The 20786-nt window shown below is 38.4% G+C and overlaps 1 protein-coding gene across 1 annotated transcript in view, besides 2 other annotated features; it reads left to right on the top strand.

Annotated features, from left to right (window-relative positions):
* The window catches only part of ERP44 (endoplasmic reticulum protein 44), a 119816-nt gene that overhangs the window by 27704 nt on the left and 71326 nt on the right, over positions 1-20786 (top strand). Inside the window, exons 2-4 of the mRNA NM_015051.3 lie at positions 11125-11197; positions 13438-13477; positions 18765-18880. Of these exons, the coding sequence (NP_055866.1) occupies positions 11125-11197; positions 13438-13477; positions 18765-18880 (229 nt within the window). The remainder of the gene's footprint in view (positions 1-11124; positions 11198-13437; positions 13478-18764; positions 18881-20786) is intronic.
* Positions 12133-12232: an enhancer, noted in NCBI's record as "active region_28718". NCBI's record gives its function as "activates an Ori minimal core promoter by ATAC-STARR-seq in GM12878 lymphoblastoid cells {active_cell/tissue: GM12878}" and the evidence as "EXISTENCE:reporter gene assay evidence [ECO:0000049][PMID:35858748]".
* Positions 12393-12452: an enhancer, noted in NCBI's record as "active region_28717". NCBI's record gives its function as "activates an Ori minimal core promoter by ATAC-STARR-seq in GM12878 lymphoblastoid cells {active_cell/tissue: GM12878}" and the evidence as "EXISTENCE:reporter gene assay evidence [ECO:0000049][PMID:35858748]".

The following is a 20786-nucleotide window of genomic DNA, read 5'->3' as shown; positions in this document are numbered from 1 at the left end:
CAACAGCTAGTAAAAGGGCTAAAGAATGTTATATGTTTGCTGGATGTGGTGGCACATGCCTGTAGTCCCAGCTACTTGGGAGGCTGAGGTGGGAGGATTGCTAGAGCCCAGGAGGTGGAGGTCGCAGTGAGCCGAGATCATGCCACTGCACTCCAGCCTAGGTGACAGAACAAGACCTTGTCTCAAAAAAAAAAAAAAAAAAACCTTATATAATTTAGGAGATACTACAATCTGTTGAGTATAAACTTTGAAAAATTGTGTAAAAGTCAAGTGAAAACATTGGTATTTCCAAAGTTTAGTATACCAATACTATAGCTCACCTGCTATAGTATATTGCCTGAGTTTCTGAGTTTCTGTCCCTGTCTCACTTCTCTGTTCCTCCTTTATCTCCCAAATACTTGACTCCTTGTGCTTAACTCCTTGTCTCAGAGTCTACTTCTGGGGGGAGGCCAAATGAAGATAGGCTATCATTGTTTTCTGTAAAATTTCCTGTCATCCGATATGGCAGCTTGCATCCTCATGGTGTCATTTTACAAGATGTTCCTCTATAGCCAATGTTTCTTATACACTAGTTTCTTGGGCTTGATTAAATTGAGATCATGTTCAAATTGGTTGTTGTTAAGAATATTTACAAGTGGTGCTTTCTGTTTCGTATTGCATCCCATCAAGAAGCAGAATACTTGGTTGTTCCACTTTTAGTGATGTTAAAAGATTGTTCAGTAACAGTGTGGATACATTCATTCTGCACTAAAATTAATTCAAAGCTTCATGAAAACCCAGGCAAAAACAGAGTACTGACATACAAGTAATCTCATGGTTTAATGCCCAGCAGTTATCTTCTTTAGAGAATATATAATGACTTTGCAGGAATTATGGATGACTTTTAAATTAAAATATTTGAATGAGAGAACCTTCTTTCTCTCTTTTATTTTTAATGTGAAAATGAAGTTTGTAAGATTAATGTAACCATGTACAAATTATGTTTTTCACAGTGTCTAGCATGTTGACACTGTGATGACTCAGTGAAATATTTGTGGAAGGAGTGAGTGAACAAAAGATGTATGTACCAACATGTATGTAGATTCTCTTAAGGTAACTTTCTCTCATCAAGTTTCCTGGGTAAGAATTACAGTGCAGCACAAAGTAGAATGGTCACAATTCTCATCTTGACTTTTCTTCCAATTCCCATGCTTTGTTAGTACTGCCATTGCTAGAAGTTTGAGTTTTAGAAGAGCAAAATGTGGTGATTTTAAGAGAATAATTTTTTTCCGCACATTGAGAAGTTCACCCCCAGCTCTGAAAAACTTTTTATAACAAAAATATACTCTTTGAAGGTCAGAGAAAAATACATTGTCTGTTCCAGGTAAATTAGTTAATCTCATTTTTAAATACGCTGAAGAACGAAACACAGATAACATCAGTTTTTAATGGAAATTCATGCATGATCAAATAACTAAAATTCAAGAAAAAGTATGAATTGCAACAAATTTTGTTTCTTTTTATTTGTCCATGATTGTTTTTACTGGCAGAATTTGAGATTAAGGATTTGTATTATCTATATTTGAACTTTTTGGAGGTATGGAATTTGTTTTCTCAAGCATTTCTGCACCATATTTTGACTTATTTAACGAAGAAATCTTATAATTTTTTTTTTATTTGAACTGGGTAATTCATACTATTAGAAATAAATATATCTATTTTGAGATGGAGTCTCACTCTGTCACCCAGGCTGGAGTGCACTGGCTCAATCTCAGCTCACTGCAACCTCCATTTCCTGGGTTCAAGTGATTTTCCTGCCTCAGCTTTCCAAGTAGGGAGAGACAGCCTTAGTAAATATCTTTGTACCTATATAATTATTAATGTCTGAAAGTAGTTTTGTAGAGTATTCTAAGAAATGGATTTGCACAGTAAGTAGAGCAGGCACTTACAAATATATATACAGTACATATAAATGCTTCTTTTCTTTTTTCTTTTTTTTGGTTGGTTTGGTTTTTTTCTTTTTTTTTTTTATTGATCATTCTTGGGTGTTTCTCGCAGAGGGGGATTTGGCAGGGTCATAGGACAATAATGGAGGGAGGGTCAGCAGATAAACAAGTGAACAAAGGTCTCTGGTTTTCCTAGGCAGAGGACCCTGCGGCCTTCCGCAGTGTTTGTGTCCCTGGGTACATGAGATTAGGGAGTGGTGATGACTCTTAAGGAGCATGCTGCCTTCAAGCATCTGTTTAACAAAGCACATCTTGCACCGCCCTTAATCCATTTAACCCTGAGTGGACACAGCACATGTTTCAGAGAGCACAGGGTTGGGGGTAAGGTCACAGATCCACAGGATCCCACGGCAGAAGAATTTTTCTTAGTACAGAACAAAATGAAAAGACTCCCATGTCTACTTCTTTCTACACAGACACGGCAACCATCCGTTTTCTCAATCTTTTCCCCACCTTTCCCCCCTTTCCATTCCACAAAAACGCCATTGTCATCATGGCCCGTTCTCAGTGAGCTGTTGGGTACACCTCCCAGACGGGGCGGCTGGCCGGGCAGAGGGGCTCCTCACTTCCCAGTAGGGGCGGCCGGGCAGAGGCGCCCCTCACCTCCCGGACGGGGCGGCTGGCCGGGTGGGGGGTTGACTCCCCCACCTCCCTCCCGGACGGGGCGGCTGGCCGGGTGGGGGGCTGACCCCCCCACCTCCCTCCCGGACGGGGCAGCCGGCCGGGCTGGGGGCTGACCCCCCCACCTCCCTCCCCGACGGGGCGGCTGGCCGGGCGGGGGGCTGAACCCCCACCTCCCTCCCGGACGGGGCGGCTGGCCGGGCAGAGGGGCTCCTCACTTCCCAGTAGGGGCGGCCGGGCAGAGGCACCTCTCACCTCCCGGACGGGGCGGCTGGCCCGGCGGCTGGCCGGGCAGGGGGCTGACCCCCCCACCTCCCTCCCGGACGGGGCGGCTGGCCGGGCGGGGGGCTGACCCCCCCACCTCCCTCCCGGACGGGGCAGCTGGCCGGGTAGAGGGGCTCCTCACTTCCCAGTAGGGGCGGCTGGGCAGAGGCGCCCCTCACCTTCCGTACGGGGCGGCTGGCCGGGCGCAGGGCTGACCCCCCTACCTCCCTCCCGGACGGGGCTGCTGGCCGGGGAGAGGGGCTCCTCACTTCCCAGTTGGGGCGGCTGGGCAGAGGCGCCCCTCACCTCCTGGATGGGGCAGCTGGCCGGGCGGGGGGCTGACTCCCCCACCTCCCTCCCGGATGGGGCGGCTGGCCGGGCGGGGGACTGACCCCCCCACCTCCCTCCCGGACGGGGCGGCTGGCCTGGCGGGGGCTGACCCCCACCTCCCTCCCGGACGGGGTGGCTGCCGGGCGGAGACGCTCCTCACTTCCCAGACGGGGTGGTTGCCGGGCGGAGGGGCTCCTCACTTCTCAGGCGGGGCGGCTGCCGGGCGGAGGGGCTCCTCACTTCTCAGACGGGGCGGCCAGGCAGAGACGCTCCCCACATCTCAGACGATGGGCGGCTGGGCAGAGACGCTCCTCACTTCCCAGATGGGATGGCGGCCGGGAAGAGGCGCTCCTCACTTCCTAGATGGGATGGCGGCCGGGCAGAGACGCTCCTCACTTTCCAGACTGGGCAGCCAGGCAGAGGGGCTCCTCAACTCCCAGACGATGGGCGGCCAGGCAGAGACGCTCCTCACTTCCCAGACGGGGTGGCGGCCGGGCAGAGGCTGCAATCTCAGCACTTTGGGAGGCCAAGGCAGGCGGCTGGGAGGTGGAGGTTGTGGCGAGCCGAGATCACGCCACTGCACTCCAGCCTGGGCACCATTGAGCACTGAGTGAACCAGACTCCGTCTGCAATCCCGGCACCTCGGGAGGCCGAGGCTGGCGGATCACTCGCGGTTAGGAGCTGGAGACCAGCCCGGCCAACACAGCGAAACCCCGTCTCCACCAAAAAAATACGAAAACCAGTCAGGCGCGGCGGCGCGCGCCTGCAGTCGCAGGCACTGGGCAGGCTGAGGCAGGAGAATCAGGCAGGGAGGTTGCAGTGAGCCGAGATGGCAGCAGTACAGTCCAGCTTCCGCTCGGCATCAGAGGGAGACTGTGGAAAGAGAGGGAGAGGGAGACCGTGGGGAGAGGGAGAGGGAGAGGGAGAGCGAGAGGGAGAGCGAGAGCGAGAGCGGTTGTTTGGTTTTTTTAGAGACAGGCTCTCACTCTGTCCAGAAATCTTATAATTCTTCTAGTGTTTCTTTATAAATGCAGGTTGGTTCTCACATGACCAAGATGGGTTGCACTGATGCTATAGGAAGGTTGTACTACTGAACAATTTAAGGGTTAAAGTGGCTTCCCAGTGTTATTCTATACTTAGTCCTATTTTTCCCCTCTCTTTGAACTTCTAGTTCATTATAGTGCTTCTGGGAATGTGAATAGTGTGAGATGTGCCTTGATTGATACCCAACTTCAAGGCCCTTATAGTTCCTGTCAGCCTCAGCTTCTTTTCTCCAGGGACATTTCAACATCTCCTGCTCCTTGAAGCCAACTGGAAACCTTTATACTTCTCTTATCTGCGAGCTTAATGCGAAACTGAAAGCAAGAGTGGACTGATTGGAGTCAGGGAAGTGGTCCCCAGGGAGGAGAAGCAGCCTAGGTCTCAGGGCATTGGGACTTCAGATGGTAGGCTGACTTGTCAATCTAGATTAGAAATGGAAGATAACTGTTGCCTGGTACATTGCTTGTTTTTTGCTATAGGAGAGACATAGTTTGTAAAGAAAGGGCTCTGAGAATCTCCCAACAGAAAGGCAAGTCAATGAAAGATTTAGCAAAAATACACTAAGCTATTACAGCAGAATGCCTAGCAGATGTACTGCCAACTGAGAACAGTAATGCCACAGGGAAAGAAACATCCCTTATTGAAGCTTCTATTTTATGACAGTGATTTCATGCAGAAATATCTGTTTAAGCTGTTTTTTTGAGCAGAAGACAGTATACTTTAAAAAATTAACATCTATGTACATCTCTGATAGGTTACAGATTCATTCTACATTTTTCTAAAAGCACAGCAATTTGCATGTCAATGCATTGTCACAGATGAGTCTTACTTGTACTTGTGTTCATATTTGAGGATCAAAAACATTGTACAGAGTTTAAAATGAATTTACACGCTTGCTCCTAGAGTAAAAAAAATTGCTTTCCAAAACAGTATTCCTGAACTTTAGTGTGCATAGGAATCAACTGGGCATCTTACTGAAGTGGAGCTTCTCATTCAGTGGGTCTAGAGTGGGGCCTAGTATTCTCTATTTCTCACAAGCTCCTAGGTGATACCAGCGTGGCAGTTTCAGAGACCACACTTTAAATATCAAGGTTTTAAGATATTGAGCTTTAAATAAACAAACTCACTAGAAATACTTCTTGTTTTCTAAACTCATTTACTAAGATATTCTAAGAAAACACTTGACACCTAGCTAATGCGTCTATGAATTAGAAATCTTATTAACAGGAGTAATGTTTGATAACCTCTTTTACCTGATGTTTTATTAGCCTCTAGTCCTGAAAGTCTCAAATCATTTATTTTCATGACTGAATTAAAAACCTTAAATTATAGCACTGTACAAGAAGTGTTGAATTTTTATCCACTAATGTAATATAACTCTTCTTCTGTTTTGTGGTAATTTATGGATGATTTGCTTTATTCCACCATGCAGCTTTATTAGGGTATAATTGACAAAAATTGTGTATATTTATGATGTACAATGAGATATTTTGATATATGTATACATTGTTAAATGATTACATGAAGCTAATTACCATATCTGTCACCTCACATACTTATTTTTTTTTGTTGTGAGAATATTATAGACTCTCTTAGGAATTTTCAAGTATATAGTACAGTCACGCATGGCATGATGACGGGGATATGTTCTGAGAAATGTGTCATTAGGCAATTTTGTCATTGTGCAAACGTCATAGAATATACTTACACAAACCTAGATGGTATAGCCTACTACACATCTGGGCTATATGGAATAGCCTATTACTCTTAGGCTACTTGTATAGTATGTTAATGTACTGAATATTGTAGGTAATTGTAATACAATGGTATTTGTGTATCTAAACGTAGAAAAGACACAGTAAAAATATAGTATAAAAGATAAAAAGTTATACACATGTATAGGGCACTTAACATGAATGAAACTTGCAGGACTAGAAGTTGCTCTGGGTGAGTCAGTGAGTGATGAGTGAATGAGAAGGCCTAAGTTATTACTGTACCTTACTGTAGTCTTTATAAACAGTAAACTTACGCAATACTAAACGTATTTTAAAATATCTTTTTTCTTTAATACTAAATTAACTAGCTTACTGTAACTTTTTAACTGTATAAACGTTTGACTCTTTTGTTATAATATGGAGGTTAAAATACCAACACGTTACATAGCTGTACAAAAACATCTTTCTTTATAACCTCATTCTGTTTGCTTGTTTTATTAAAATATTTTTTTCTTTTTAGCTTTTTTGTTGAAAACCAAGACAAAAATACACACATTAGCCTAGACCTACACAGGGTCAGGATTATCAAGACATCAAGAGGCTCCAGGAATTTTTCAGCTTCATTATAATCTTATGGGACCACTGTCATATATGTAGCCTCTCATTAACCAAAACATTTTTATGCAGTGTGACTGTATGTGCTGAAGTGCCTGGAAATCGTACCAAAGAACAGCTGGGGGAACCAACTGTTAAGTAGTGATGTAGAGGGGTTTCTGCAATAGGTGGGAAGATCCTTTGTGAGATTCCTTCTAAGTCTGTGGATCATCACCAAGTGGTGTGCTTTTTGCTATTATATAATTAAAACCAAATTATAGTATAGACTTTATTTTTATTTGATAACCTCAGTTTCCTCAAACATGTTAAAATGTTTGTTCGCAATTTCAATTTCTGGACCTTTTCCTCCTACTTCTCATATCCAATATCGTCTCTCTAAATTCTTAGTGTGTTAACATCATCTACCTATTCATCCATCTAATCATTCATTTAGTACATATTTGAATGTTTCTTGTGTACAAACAGGGTACAGTGATCTGTGGGATACAAAATTGAATAAGGTGGTCTCTACTTTCAAGGTACTCCCCGTCTGTTGGAGGAAGTAAGACACCAGTGCAAATAACTAATTTAAGGATAGAATTAATTTGTTTCTTAAAGACAGAATAATATGTTAACACCCTATAGAAAGTGCTCTTGGTGTTCAGAGCAGGGAGAGATATAAATTTTTAATAACCATCTAATGGAAGAAAACATTCTTTCCTTGCTGAAGAAGCTCCTGCTATTGAAAGCTAGCCTTTCACTTTTATTAGTCTTTTAAATGAATTTGGGTATGGTATTTGCCATTTTACTGGTATGCCTTTTTATATGAGATCCCATCACTAGGCTGAAATGTTGTAATAGTTGGTACAGTAAATGCATGGAGGAGTTATCTAATGAATTATGAGAGATGATTAAAGATGCCACTCTGCTCTGCTTTCTTGGCAAGAAAATGAGCTAATAAGCTGGAGAGAATGACCAAGTTGTAAAATACTTCCTAAGTTCATATCTGTATATTTGTATATGTTGTCTAAATATTTCATCATTAGAGACTATATTCTTCATGACTATTAAGATCTATGAAAATTTCCATGTAAGTTTTTATTTTGTTTTTAACGTAAATTTAAAAGTTTTATTCAAGTCTAAATTGAAAACAAAAATTAATGATCCCTATCAAAAGCTTTATGGTCTGGAGTCATACTTTATTTTACTTAAGCACTATAGCATTTGACACATGAAGATGTTTTCCCGGGAGAATCTTGTTGCTGCCCAGGGCTGACAGGAAAAAAAACAATTTGTCCGACTAGTGGAGCTTACTAACAGTTCAAATAAACAACCCGTCTTTCCCTTCATACTGCATATTAATAGAAATGTTAATGATAAGCTAACAGGAAACTGCCTCCTTTACACCCTACAGGGAGCAGAGATTACTGGGTCAGAGAGTTTTCTTGCTTTGGGCCCTCTTAACAAACACAACTGTTAGCAAAATACCAATCTTATCACTTGCATATTTATTAGCACAGTATTTTTAAAGTAATAGTTATCTATTTAATACAGCCAAATTGATCATTGCCTCATTTTTGCCATTACTTAGCATGTAAATATTTTTGCCATGTAAGTATTTCAAGGTAAAATCAATTTCCCTCTCTCTCTCTCTTTTTTTTTTTTTTTTTTGTGAGACAGGGTCCTGTTCTGTCATCCAGGCTGGAGTGCAGTGGCACAATCATAGCTCACTGCAAACTCGAACTTCTGGGTTCAAGTGATCCAGTGGCCTCAGCCTCCCCAGTAGCTAGGACTACAGGCATGTGCCACCATGCCTGGCTAATTTTTTAAGTTTTTTGTAGAGACAGGGTCTTGCTATGTTGCCTAGGCAGGTCTTAAACTTCTGGCCTCAAGGGGTCCTCCTGCCTTGGCCTCCCAAAGTGCTGGGATTATAGGCATGAGTCACTGTGTCCAGCTAGTAAAAAGCTATTAACTTTAGATTTTAAACATATATTCTCTCTACATATTTTGATAGATGATAATTAACTCTTCAAAAATATTTCAGAATAACCAAAAGAGTGGATTTGGAGTGTTCCCAACACAAAGAAATGATAGATGTTTGAGTGATGGCTATACCACTTACCCAGATTTGAGGTAGCGCACACCATGCCGTATGCATTTGTGCCCTCAGTACCTAGTAGACACTGTAAATATTATTGAATTATTTAATGACTTGACTTCAATAATGCCAACTTCATTGTTCTATGATAATATTTTTCTGCCTTCTTAAGTTTTTCTTTAGCACACAGGTGTAAAATCTTGCTATTACCAATATTATTGGGTTCCACAGTTATCTAGAACTGGTCAGATACTTATGAAGCCAGGATCTGTTATTAAGACATTGATAATGTAGAGTAGAAAAGATTTCTTACCCATCTCTAGGTTCATATCTGAGACTCCTATAATAAAAGGTAGATTAACAAGAGAAAAGCATACAAATTTATTTAATATAAGTTTTACATGACATGGGAGCCTTCAGAAATTACAACCCAAAGAAGTGGGAAAAACTTTATTTTTATTCATAGGTTGATGTACAGACATACGACTGGACAAAGGGGGTATGATCTAATAGTAATAAACTGGGGAAACTGTTAGTTTAGATTCTTCTTGGTATCTCTGTGTCCGCAGAGATTGGGATATTCCTTTTCTCAGGGTCTAGAGGATACGTCTCTTAGCGGGGTCTTAAGACCTACTTTAGAGTAATGTCAGAGAATTATTTTATGACCTGTTTTAGGGAAGAAGGGCAGGAGAAGGTCAGGGAGACCTTTTTGCTTCTGCTATTTCCTCAAATGCCAATGTGCCATATTTTGGAGTAATGTGTTCTAAACCCCATCAATAGTAACTAATGACTAGTGAGGGAAGTCTGATCTTTCTAGTTAATGTTTGAGGCACTGAAAATAATGAAATTAGTTTTATAAGTCAAATATTTGGAGATTTGCAATTATTTAGCCTACTTTTAGGAGAGTATAATTTATTGGTTGCTAACAGACATGATAGTTATTGGCTACACCGTTAATGGTAATTTAAAAATAAGACAGTGTTATCCTTAGGCCTTTCCTAAGAACAGAATAAATATATATATTTATATATATTTCTATAAATATATATATTTCTATAAATATATACGTTTCTATAAATATATACGTTTCTATAAATATATACGTTTCTATAAATATATACGTTTCTATAAATATATACATTTCTATAAATATATATTTATACATATTTTATAAATATTTATATATATATTTATTTATATATTTTGAGACGGAGTCTTGCTCTGTTGCCCAGGCTGGAGTGCAGTGGTGCAATCTCAGCTCACTGCAACCTCCACCTCCTGGGTTCAAGTGATTCTCCTGCCTCAGCCTCCCGAGCAGCTGGGACTACGGGCACCTGCCACCATGCCCGGCTAATTTTTGTATTTTTAGTAGAGACAGGGTTTCACCATGTTGGCCAGGATGGTCTCGATCTTTTGACCTCGTTGTGATCTGCCCGCCTTGGCCTCTCAAAGTGCTGGGATTACAGGCATGAGCCACCATGCCCAGCCCAGAAATATTTTTAAAAATTAGTTGGGCTTATGTATATACTAGCATCATTGTATCTCTTTATAGCATTTAGATTGAATTGTTGGTGAATTATAAAAGTTTTGAGTCTGTCATAAGTGCTGAAGTATTCAGGAAATGGGTGGGCAAAGGAATAGTCTTCAGCACTTTGATCAGAGCCTGACATTAGTTGTCATTCAGTAAAAAGCAATGATTTAGTAAGTGAATTTCCATACACAAACTCTATTTCAAACAAAAATCTCTTCAGGCAGCAAACACCAAGTCATTGAAGTTGGAAACTAAAAATAAAATACACTAAATTTTACTTTTTAAAATAAGTAAACATTTGCTAGTTTAGTTTAAAATTTTATATTTTCTTTGTTTTGTAGATGGGAGGCTAAGATTTTCTTTGATAAACTTGAACTTTGGATTTCAGGTTCATTAAAGTGCAAAAACATTCTTATTTTCTTTTTAATAGCCTCTCATGTAACACATTGTTGTCACCAATAAGTGAAAATTATACCGGAAGGGCTTTTGGTTTACAACTTGCAAAAGTCTTTCTTGCATTCTTCATTATTTTCTTCTGTCTTAGAAACATGGCAGGATAGAATCAGCAGACTTAGCTTTGGTTTTTATGTTTATACTTTAAACACTGATAATCTCACAAATTTTTTCTTGTGGTGCTATAAAGTTCTTGAAAGTGTTAATTTGAAAAGATATGTATATTCCCAGTTTTCCTAATTCCTTAGAAGCTATTTTGTATATTTGCAAGTATAGAAAGTTTTATTTGACCAATTTCTAGGTTTGAGAAGCTAATATTTCTCCTATTTCATTTATCTAGTAAAAGATTAGACTAGATAATAAAGATTCAATTCAATTGATGTATAATTTTCTAAGGAACAAGTGGAATCACACATTTATTTTTAGACTTCGCTTTTACGTATTTGTCTTTTGTGGACACATTTATTAATTTCTCATTTTTTAAATTTTCAGGTAACTTGGGTTTTTACTCCTGTAACAACTGAAATAACAAGTCTTGATACAGAGAATATAGATGAAATTTTAAGTAAGTACCTCAATATTTTTAAAGTGTACTCTTTCTTCTCTATAGAGAGTTAGTTTATATATACAAAAAAAAAACCCAATAAAATCTCAGTTAGCTAGCACAGATGAAGAGCTGGCATTCTGATTAATTCCATGACTTTCTGAATTATCAAAGCACTTTTGGTTACTTTTAGTGTTTTTTATTTATTTAACTTGATATAGATACCATTCTTAACAATTCACGAAATGTTTTGATAAGCCTACTTAGAGACCAATAGTTCTCACTGTGCAGAACTAAATGTTAATGACCTTAGGACACAGCCTAGACTTTTTTTTCTTTTTTCCCTTTAATTAGATCACCTATTCTGATCTCTTTTATTGTTATTGGTCCAGTTAAGCTCAGTACTTTTTTTATTTTTTATTTTAGAGAAAGGGTCTTGCTTTGTCACCCAGACTGGAGTGCAGTGGCATGATAATATTATAGCTCACTTCAGCCTTGACCACCTCCTGGGCTCAAGCAATCCTCTTTCCTCAACCTTCCAAGTTAGCTAGGACTACAGGTGGGCTCCACTGCACGTAGCTAATTTTAAATTTTTCTTGTAGAGACATGGTCTTGCTATGTTGCCCAGGCTGGTCTTGAATTCCTGACCTCAAGCAGTCCTCTCATCTTGGCCTCCCAAAGTGCTGGGTTTACAGGCATGAACCACCACACTTGGCCTAATAAGTTTTTTACTGAATGGTTTGTTTGCTGACAATGTGGTTGTGGATATAATTAACTTGAGAGAAACCATTTCTTGTTTTTTAAAAATAGTAAAGGAAAGGTGAAGATGTGGTTGATAGAAAATCGTAACTTAGGAGCTTTAAGAAAATGTACAGTGTGCATAAATGATTTCTTTTTTTAATCCTCCATCTGACACATATAATAGAGGCAAAAGGAGTTACAACATTCATTGAGTGTAATATATTATGTTCCTGGACCTTTAAATGCTAAAAGTCTATTCCTGTCTTATGGAGTCTCTTTAGAGGAGTGGTTCCATGAACTTTAGCATGTATCAGAACCACCTGGAACACTTATTAATATCTATACTGCTAGGAAACTGCTAGACCCCTACCTAAAGATTTGCATTTCTTAAGGATTTACATTTCTGTGAGTTCCCAGGTGATGTTGGTGTTTCTGGTCCAGGAACCACAGTTTGTGAACCACTGCTTTAGAGCGAATAAGCAAGTATATAAAAAGTAACTTGAAGGTAAAAAGGGAAGAAAGGAATTGAAACTCACATGTCATTCTCACTTCTGTCATCTTTCCAATTCTAGAATATCTTTGTGTTTTATTTTCATGAGTGCTTGAGGACTTTACGTTTCTCTGAATTAGGGATAGGCAAAAAGCACTACATCTTTCTCATGTCTTTACATCTTGATGTGCAAATGATGCTGTTATTTTTGTAGGGGGGAATAACTTAAATGGATAGGAATTAAAAAACTGGCGTCTTGTGCAACACTATTAGTTGTAGATTACTTGTTGCAACTAGGTGGTATATGTGAGGTTTAAAAATAACTTAGTTATACAGGTCTTTTCTGTGATGTGGGATTTTATTTGCAGAACTAATTCTCAGTTATTCATGAATATGGAAGATCAAAAAATAAAATACAGATCATTCCACTTTACTTTTTATGATCGTAGCTTACTTGCCTTATCTGGACTTTATTTCACATTTGCTTTAAATTCATTTAAGATGCAACGAAGGAAGCCCGGTGTGATGGCTCATGCCTGTAATCCCAGCACTTTGGAAGGTTAAGGTGGGAGGTTGCTTGAGGCCAGGAGTTCGAGACCAGCCTGGGCAATATAACCAGATCCTGTCTCTACAAAAAAATACAAAAATTAGCCAGGTGTGGTGGTGTTTGCCTGTAGTCCTAGCTACTTGGGAGGGTGAAGTGGGAGGATCACGTCAACCCAGGAGTTTGAGGCTGCACTGGGTTTTGATCATGCCACTGCACTCTAGCCTGGGCAATAGAGTGAGACCCAGTCTCCATAAAATAAAAGATACAGTGAACTTATAAAGATAAAGCATACAGAGAAAAGAGACAAAGTTTCCCATAAATTATATAAGCTGTCCATGACTCTAGGTTTCTGAGTGAGAGATAATAGTTACTGTGTTTTTTTAAGTGGACCCTTATATTGGACAAAGATCATAATGAAACTGTATGTTTAATTATGTCAAAATTATTACAAATATCTTATTTGGTTTTGTCTTTCAATTTCAGACAATGCTGATGTTGCTTTAGTAAATTTTTATGCTGACTGGTAAGTAATCTTATTGTTTGGGTTTGGTTTTGTTTTTACTTGCTAAAGGTTAATTTTTCTTTGCTAGAAAGGGGAAGGGAAGGCTTTTTCTATTTCAAGACAGTATTCCATACATAAAGTCAATTAAGTTTCATCCACAAGGGAAGTAGTTTAATTTGGTAAGGATTTCTGTTTTAAGAAAGAAATAGAGCTGATTCTGTTATCTTATATCTTAAAACAAGTAACATATAACTCAAATATGACTCTCTCCACCCCCGACTCAAAGGGAACACATATTGCAATTCCGTATTTGTCCTGACTGTGGAAGAAGGGTAGTGTTTATAAGTCATGATTTGGGTATGTCAAGTTTAGAAGGAAAAATAATGTTGACATTTTTAAATTTATAGAATCTGCTGCCTCTGTCTTTTGTGTTTATACAGTACCCTATGTACCACTTTCTTTTTCTTACTAAATGTTTTGTCTTTTCTTGTTTGTGCCCTAGCAAACAAACTTTGAGGGCAGAGATAATGGCATACTCAGTATTCCCAGCATCTAGAACAACATGGTATATAGTAGATGTTACAGAATATGGCATGGAGATAGGAAGAAGGGAGATTCAGCTGGAAAGATTCTGAAACACAAGGGAGATTTAGCTGGAAAGATTCAGCATAGTCTTTATCCCTAGACACTCTGTATCTTATCTGACCCTTTAAGGCTTACTACCTACTGGCTGTCACTACCATACTCCAGGCCACAGTCCTGTCATTTACTTAAAATTCATGCTACAGTCTCCTCATTTCTTTTCTGTGCCTCTAGTCTTACGTATCTCCATTCTGTTCTCTACAATGTAAGCCAGAGTTATCTTTCTTACAGTGTAAATAAGATTAGTTTATACCCCTTCTTAAAGCCCTTAAAATGTTTCCATTACCTTTGGGTTAAAGTTTAAATCCTTTACTTTGACCCAGAAGGCCCCTTATGAACTGGTCTCTTATTCCCTCTGTAGCTGTTATGTCTGGCCTCTCTCCACTTCCACATTCTGCTCCAGTTATACTAAACTTCTTTCAATTCCTATAAAATTCTGTATTTCATCACTGGACTGTGAGGCATGATATTTCCCCTGCCTGGATGGATCATTCTTCTGTCGCCCACTTCTTTACTTAGTTAAGTTCTAATCTTTCAAGTCTTAGATTAGATGCCATTTTCTTCAGGTTATCTTCCTGGATCAATACACCTACCCCTACTCTTGACTCTGATTAGGAGCCCTTCTGTTATTTCCGGTAACACCCATACTTACCCAATCATAACACTTGTAGGCTATAATCCTAGTTGGTGACTCTCTACTACATTGTTTGCTCTGTGAGAATACATACCATAGTTTTATTTTCAACTTTAATCCCCAAGCACTTTGCTTAAAATGTGGCTGATAAGTACATAATGTCTACTGAATGAATGTATATATGGTATGATTATTTAAAGAACTTTAGTAAAAAGTTGAAGATACACAGAGAAAATGCTGTTTATAAAATATGTCTCAAAGGTAGCATTTTTCAAAGTAAATTAGGGTTGTCAAGATGTATTAATAGCCAAAAAATTTGGTAGAAGATTATGTAGTCCAATCCATTTTAAAATAAGAAAACTGAGATCCAGGGGATTGAAGTACTTTCCCAAGGTTACCCAACTAGATGATGTCTGAAGAAAAACTAGAACGACTTTCTCCTGACTGAGAGATTTTGTGTGTTGCAAGAAAGGGTAATAGAATGTGCTGCTGATCTTTTGAAAAAACTGAATTGGAAACATGGACTGAGTTATTTGGGAAAACATTACCTAAAGAATACCTTAAGTTGTTGATGAATTAATACTCTTTTATATGGCTGAAAAAGCTTGGGTAATTGGCTGTAAGACATAGACTTAATACTATGTGGCCTCAAAGTCTAGACTCTGAGTTCATTCTGGAAGTTATGGATGTGGCACAGTTTAATAATTCTGTAATAGAGGTGCTTAAAAATACTGCAGCTCCTTGAGTAATACTGTAGTAGGTGGTTAATAATGCTGTTTTGTGCCAGACTATTTTTTAAAAATTACCTAATATTTATGGGAACATAGTAGGTATATATATTTATGGGGCACATGAGATATTTTGATAGAGGTGTACAAAGTAGGATAATCACATGGCTGGGCACAGTGGCTCACGCCTGTAATCCCAGCACTTTGGAAGGCCGAGGCGGGCAGGTCACCTGAGGTCAGGAGTTCCAGACTAGCCTGACGAACATGGTGAAACCCCGTCTTTACTAAAAATACAAAAAATTAGCCGGACGTGGCAGGCACCTGTAATCCCAGCTACTTGGGAGGCTGAGGCAGGAGAATTGCTTGAAGCCAGCAGGCGGAGGTTGCGGTGAGCTGAGATCACACGGTTGCACTCCAGCCTGAGTGACAGAGCGAGACTCCGTCTCAAACAAAAACAAAAACAAACAAAAAAAACACACATCAGGGTAAATGGAGTATTCATTAATTCAAGGATTCATCATTTTTGTTACAAACATTCCAGTTTTACTCTTTTAGTTATTTAAAAATGTACAATACATTTCTGTTTAGTCATCCTGCTAGATCTTATTCATTCTAACTATATTTTTGTACTCATTAACCATCCCCATCCAGACTCTTTACATAGGTTTTTTTTAATGCTCAGAACTACTCTGTAGGTAGGTATTATAATTTCCTTTTAGGTTGAGGAATTGAGGCTCAGAAGGGTCATATGGCTAGTAAGTGGTGGAACTGGGATTTAAATTCAGGTATGCCTAACTGCAAAGCTTATTTTTTTCTCTAACTAGATCATATTAGTAAGTGCCCTCAAAATGTCTCTGCAAAGACTTATCTATTTGGTAGATTTGTTAAGGATTGATTTAAGCACTAGATGGAAGATTAGGTTTAGATGACCCTTAGGCCCTTTTAATAGATCCATTGCTTTTGTGATGTTCCTTTTATAAATGTAACATTTCCATGTGTATGGATACACATGTATGAAGGTACAGTAATTATGGAATTGAACTTTTATTTCATTTTCCCTTTTCGTCTTTTGGTACAGGTTGAGTATCCCTTATCTGAAATACTTGAGACCAGAAGTGTTTCAGTTTTTGGATTTTTTCAGATTTGGTAATGTTTGCCTTATACTTACTGGTTCAACATCCCTAACCCCAAAAATACGAAATCCAAAATGCTTCAATGTGCATTTCCTTTGAGCATCTTGTCAGTGCTCAAACAGTTTTAGATTTTGAAGCATTTTGAATTTTTAGATTAGGGGCATTCAACCTGTATTAAGACAGGTCCTATTTTAAACATGAACCATGCTTAAATACTTAATGAGTGGCAAACTGGACAATCTAGAGAAAAGAAGCCCTTGATGTGTTTTTTTACGTCGCCCTTAAGCCATAAAGAGGCTTGCCCGCTCTTTCTTCACTAGGTCAGATCTAAATTTTTCAAGAAACCATTAATCAGCCCCTACTCCTTGCCTCCCTTGCCCTCCAGCTACCTTATTTTCAGCGAACTGTAAGAACCCACAAACCTGCGGTCCTAGCCGCTCCAGTTCCTCCATTCTATCAATTTATTGATTTAATACATATATTGAATGTTTATTAGAATACATAGTCAAATAAGACACGGTCCATGATGTCCACAGACCCCATCCTCTTATCCCTGATGGGAGAGATTTAAGAATGCTAAAAGAGGAAAGAGCCACTTGAAAGCAAGAGATTGAAGATACAGATGTGTCTCCTTGATATATTCTAGGACATCTCCTTAGGAAGTCAGGTGAGTGGGCTAGAAGAGATATATATATACAAGAAGAAATAGGGAGGAAGTATAATGTTTGCATCCTTTCACAGGCTTTCCAATATTTTTATTGTATTAAAGCTAATATGTATGAACTAATTACATGTGGATTAAACTGTTCACTGACATCATTTAAGTAAATTTGGTGGAAAAGGGCTCTGGAAGCAACAGTAGCAATTGTAGTTTGTTTACATATTCTTAATACTTCTTCCGTAAGAGAATGGCCATTCTAACCCAGCTGGTTGCTAATTCTGATTCTTCCCCTTCTTATTGGGTCCCTTTAATTACCTAGAACATAGTCATCCATGACATGATGTTTAGGTCAATGACAGAAGTCCCATATATAATACCGTATTTTTACTGTAACTTTTCTGTGTTTAGATACCTGCTATTGTGTTACAGTTGCCTACAGTATTTAGTATATTAACATGTGGTACAGGTTTGTAGCCTAGGAGCAGTAGGAGGCTGTATACCCTATAGTGTAGGTGCATGCTAGGCTATACCATCTAGGTTTGTGTAAGTATACTTTATGATGTTCACGTAATGAAGAAATCGCCTAATGGTGTATTTCTGAGTGTATCCCTGTCGTTAAACACCACATGACTGTATTTGTGAAATGTTTGGCTTGATTAAGGGACAGTTAGAAGTAACAAGTTTGTAGAATATTGTGGGGGTTTGTGCCTTGTGTTTAAAGTAAAAGAAAAAAGAAAATATAGACAGGAAGTCTTGGTTAGGAATTTAAGATATTTGCTTCTGGACTTACTGTATTTAGTATGTTTACAGATATAAAAGCCCATTTTATCAAGGGGTAAATTTTGAGGGGAAATAGTTAATTATATACCATATATTCTTTTAATATAACTTATTTATTTAGTGTGTTAACTTGCCTGTGAGATTTGATAGAACTAGCCAGGTGGAGAGGTCTAATATTTGCAATACAGTTAAAATATTTTACACAATAGTCTAAAATTTTATTATTTTGAGGTGGGAGGATTGCTTGAGCCCTGGAGGTGGAGGGTGCAGTGAGCTCAGATTGTGCCCCTGCCCTCCAACTTGGGCAACAGAATGAGACCCTGTCTCAAAAAAAATTAAAAATAAATAAAATAGAGAAAGCTAATTTTTCATAAATGTTCAAGCCTCAGTAGTTACAAATCCTAACAGTACTTTGTAGAGGGCTTATTTCAGACTTGTTTTATGACCTCTGCAAGAGATCCTTAGCTGTGTGCTCCATAATACTGGCAATTGTCTTAAGATGAATAAAACCAAAATCTATTATACATTCTTAGAATTGGTATACAGTCTTTGAACTTAAAATTGTCTTCATCTCCATTGAACGATGTCAGGGTCCATGATTAAATTAAGTGTGTGATTATCTCGCAGAGTCGTTTATTATGCCTATATCAAATGTCAGTGGGCAATAACGGAAATAAGATTTTATTACTTCTGCTTTTCATTTCTAATTGGCATCCTTCTCTGTGTATAGGTGTCGTTTCAGTCAGATGTTGCATCCAATTTTTGAGGAAGCTTCCGATGTCATTAAGGAAGAATTTCCAAATGAAAATCAAGTAGTGTTTGCCAGAGTTGATTGTGATCAGCACTGTAAGTACCTCAATAGGAAGTCTAGAAGAGACTGTCCCATCCCAAACACAGGCACACATACACATTTTTTCTTTTCTTTTCTTTTCTTTTTTTTTCCTTTTCTTTTTTTTTTTAAATGCTCTGCTTTTAAGTGGAGAACAAACCGAAAAGGTTCTAGTGACCTTGGTTAAATTGTTACTATTTAATTTTTATGTACTTAGAACACTACTTTCCATTTTGCTTGTGTGAAGGTTTTTTTGTTGTTATTTAAAAAATTACAGTAGGTCAAGCGTAGGGAACAAAACTAGCAGTGTTTTCTACCAAAGCAAATACCAAAATCAGTAAATAAGATTGAAATGTAGTATTAGAAGAAAAAATGGATTTCTGTTAGTTTTAGAATCATGTGAAAATACCATTTATAGTCATTTCAAATAAGATAGTCTCAGATTTTTGTGTGTTTCTGTTTTTGAAAAGATTCTGTTTTGAAAAGATTCTGGTTTAGACTATTTTTGAGTCTAATTAGCTGTAGCAACTGATTATAATTATTAAGAGTGTTAAGAAACTTAGCTTAGGCTCTTAAAATCCAACCTCTTGCATTTTGCTTGTCCTGGTGGAGCATTCTCTATAAAATCCTCATGGTTTTTCGTATACATGAAGGATTTGTCTAACTTGAACTAGTGATCTTGCTAGTGGTGTTTCCTCCTGTGTGTTCCCATTATACTTGAACTTTCCTCTCTCATCGTGCTAAACTCATTGTATTTCGTAGTTCTGGTTCATTGTGTCTTAGTTGTCTTATCAGCTGCATTGTCTGTTCATTAAGGCAGGAATTTTTTTTTCTTTCTTTTTTTAATGCTCACTTTTAAGAGGAGACCAAACCACTTATTAATCTCTGTGTCTCAAGCATCTGACAGTTGCTGGGAGACAGAGACTGCTCACGAAAAGCTATTGCATTGAGTTATTTGTAAGTTGGTGTGAATACAGAACTGTCTCCCATTCTTCAAGTTTTCTATTTTTTTATACTTAACCTACTGATTAAAATTAGTATGTGTGTACACACACCTAACTTTTCATTTTACTGATGAGGAAATGGATATGAAGTGGCTTAATCAATGTTACATAGCTCAGTGTCTGGTAAAGCCCGAATTTGAATCCTGATTTTCTGACCAAATGCCTTCATTTGCTCTTTTCTGTTCAAACATTTTGGGGAGTTATTGGTATAGCTTTGCGCTAGGCAGCAAGGCATTTTCCAATAGTAAATCATTTCACAGTCTTCTGAGCCCCACCCCATATTTCTGTCTGCTGAAATTCATAACTAGATAGGGTGAAGGGAGCAATAAAAGGTTGTCAGTACAGGCATGGGCTACATTTTCACACTGCTTCCCAGATCTTTTCTCCGACCTTTCGCTGACAGAGAACATGATGTTTTTGGTGTGGGTTCTCATTTCAAATCTTTCTATTCTTTATGTATTTAATTAGATGTTACAGTGCAGATAAGACTTCCTACTTTTACTGAATTTGAACCATAAAATTGGAAATTATGCTCTAAAGCTTACATTCATTGGGAAGAAAATTTAATACTTATATCCTTGAACCATAAATATCATTTATTCCATCTTTTAAACAGATAACTTTTGAAGAAAATCTGACATCATTGCTAGTAAGCTTTCTTTTTATGGGGGCAAATAGCACAGTTCAGATGCTTTTCAATCCACCAGCAAGTTATCTGAGGTATTATGCATATTTTGAGGTATTATGCATCTCTCTGAATATTTTTTCTCTTCTATGTAATTCTTTTAAAGAAATGATTGTTATGAAACCCTTATTGATTAATGTATTTACATTTTCCACAGTCTCTTTAGAGATTGTAAGACAAACTGTAGTTTTGTTAACCTCTTATGTGCCAATTAGATTGTAGAGGTTTTGGACT

This window comes from Homo sapiens, chromosome 9, assembly GCF_000001405.40.
Source record: "Homo sapiens chromosome 9, GRCh38.p14 Primary Assembly".
Lineage (NCBI taxonomy): Eukaryota > Metazoa > Chordata > Mammalia > Primates > Hominidae > Homo > Homo sapiens.
The sequence above is the reverse complement of the archived record's forward strand: the minus strand, read 5'-3'. Positions and strand labels throughout refer to the sequence as shown.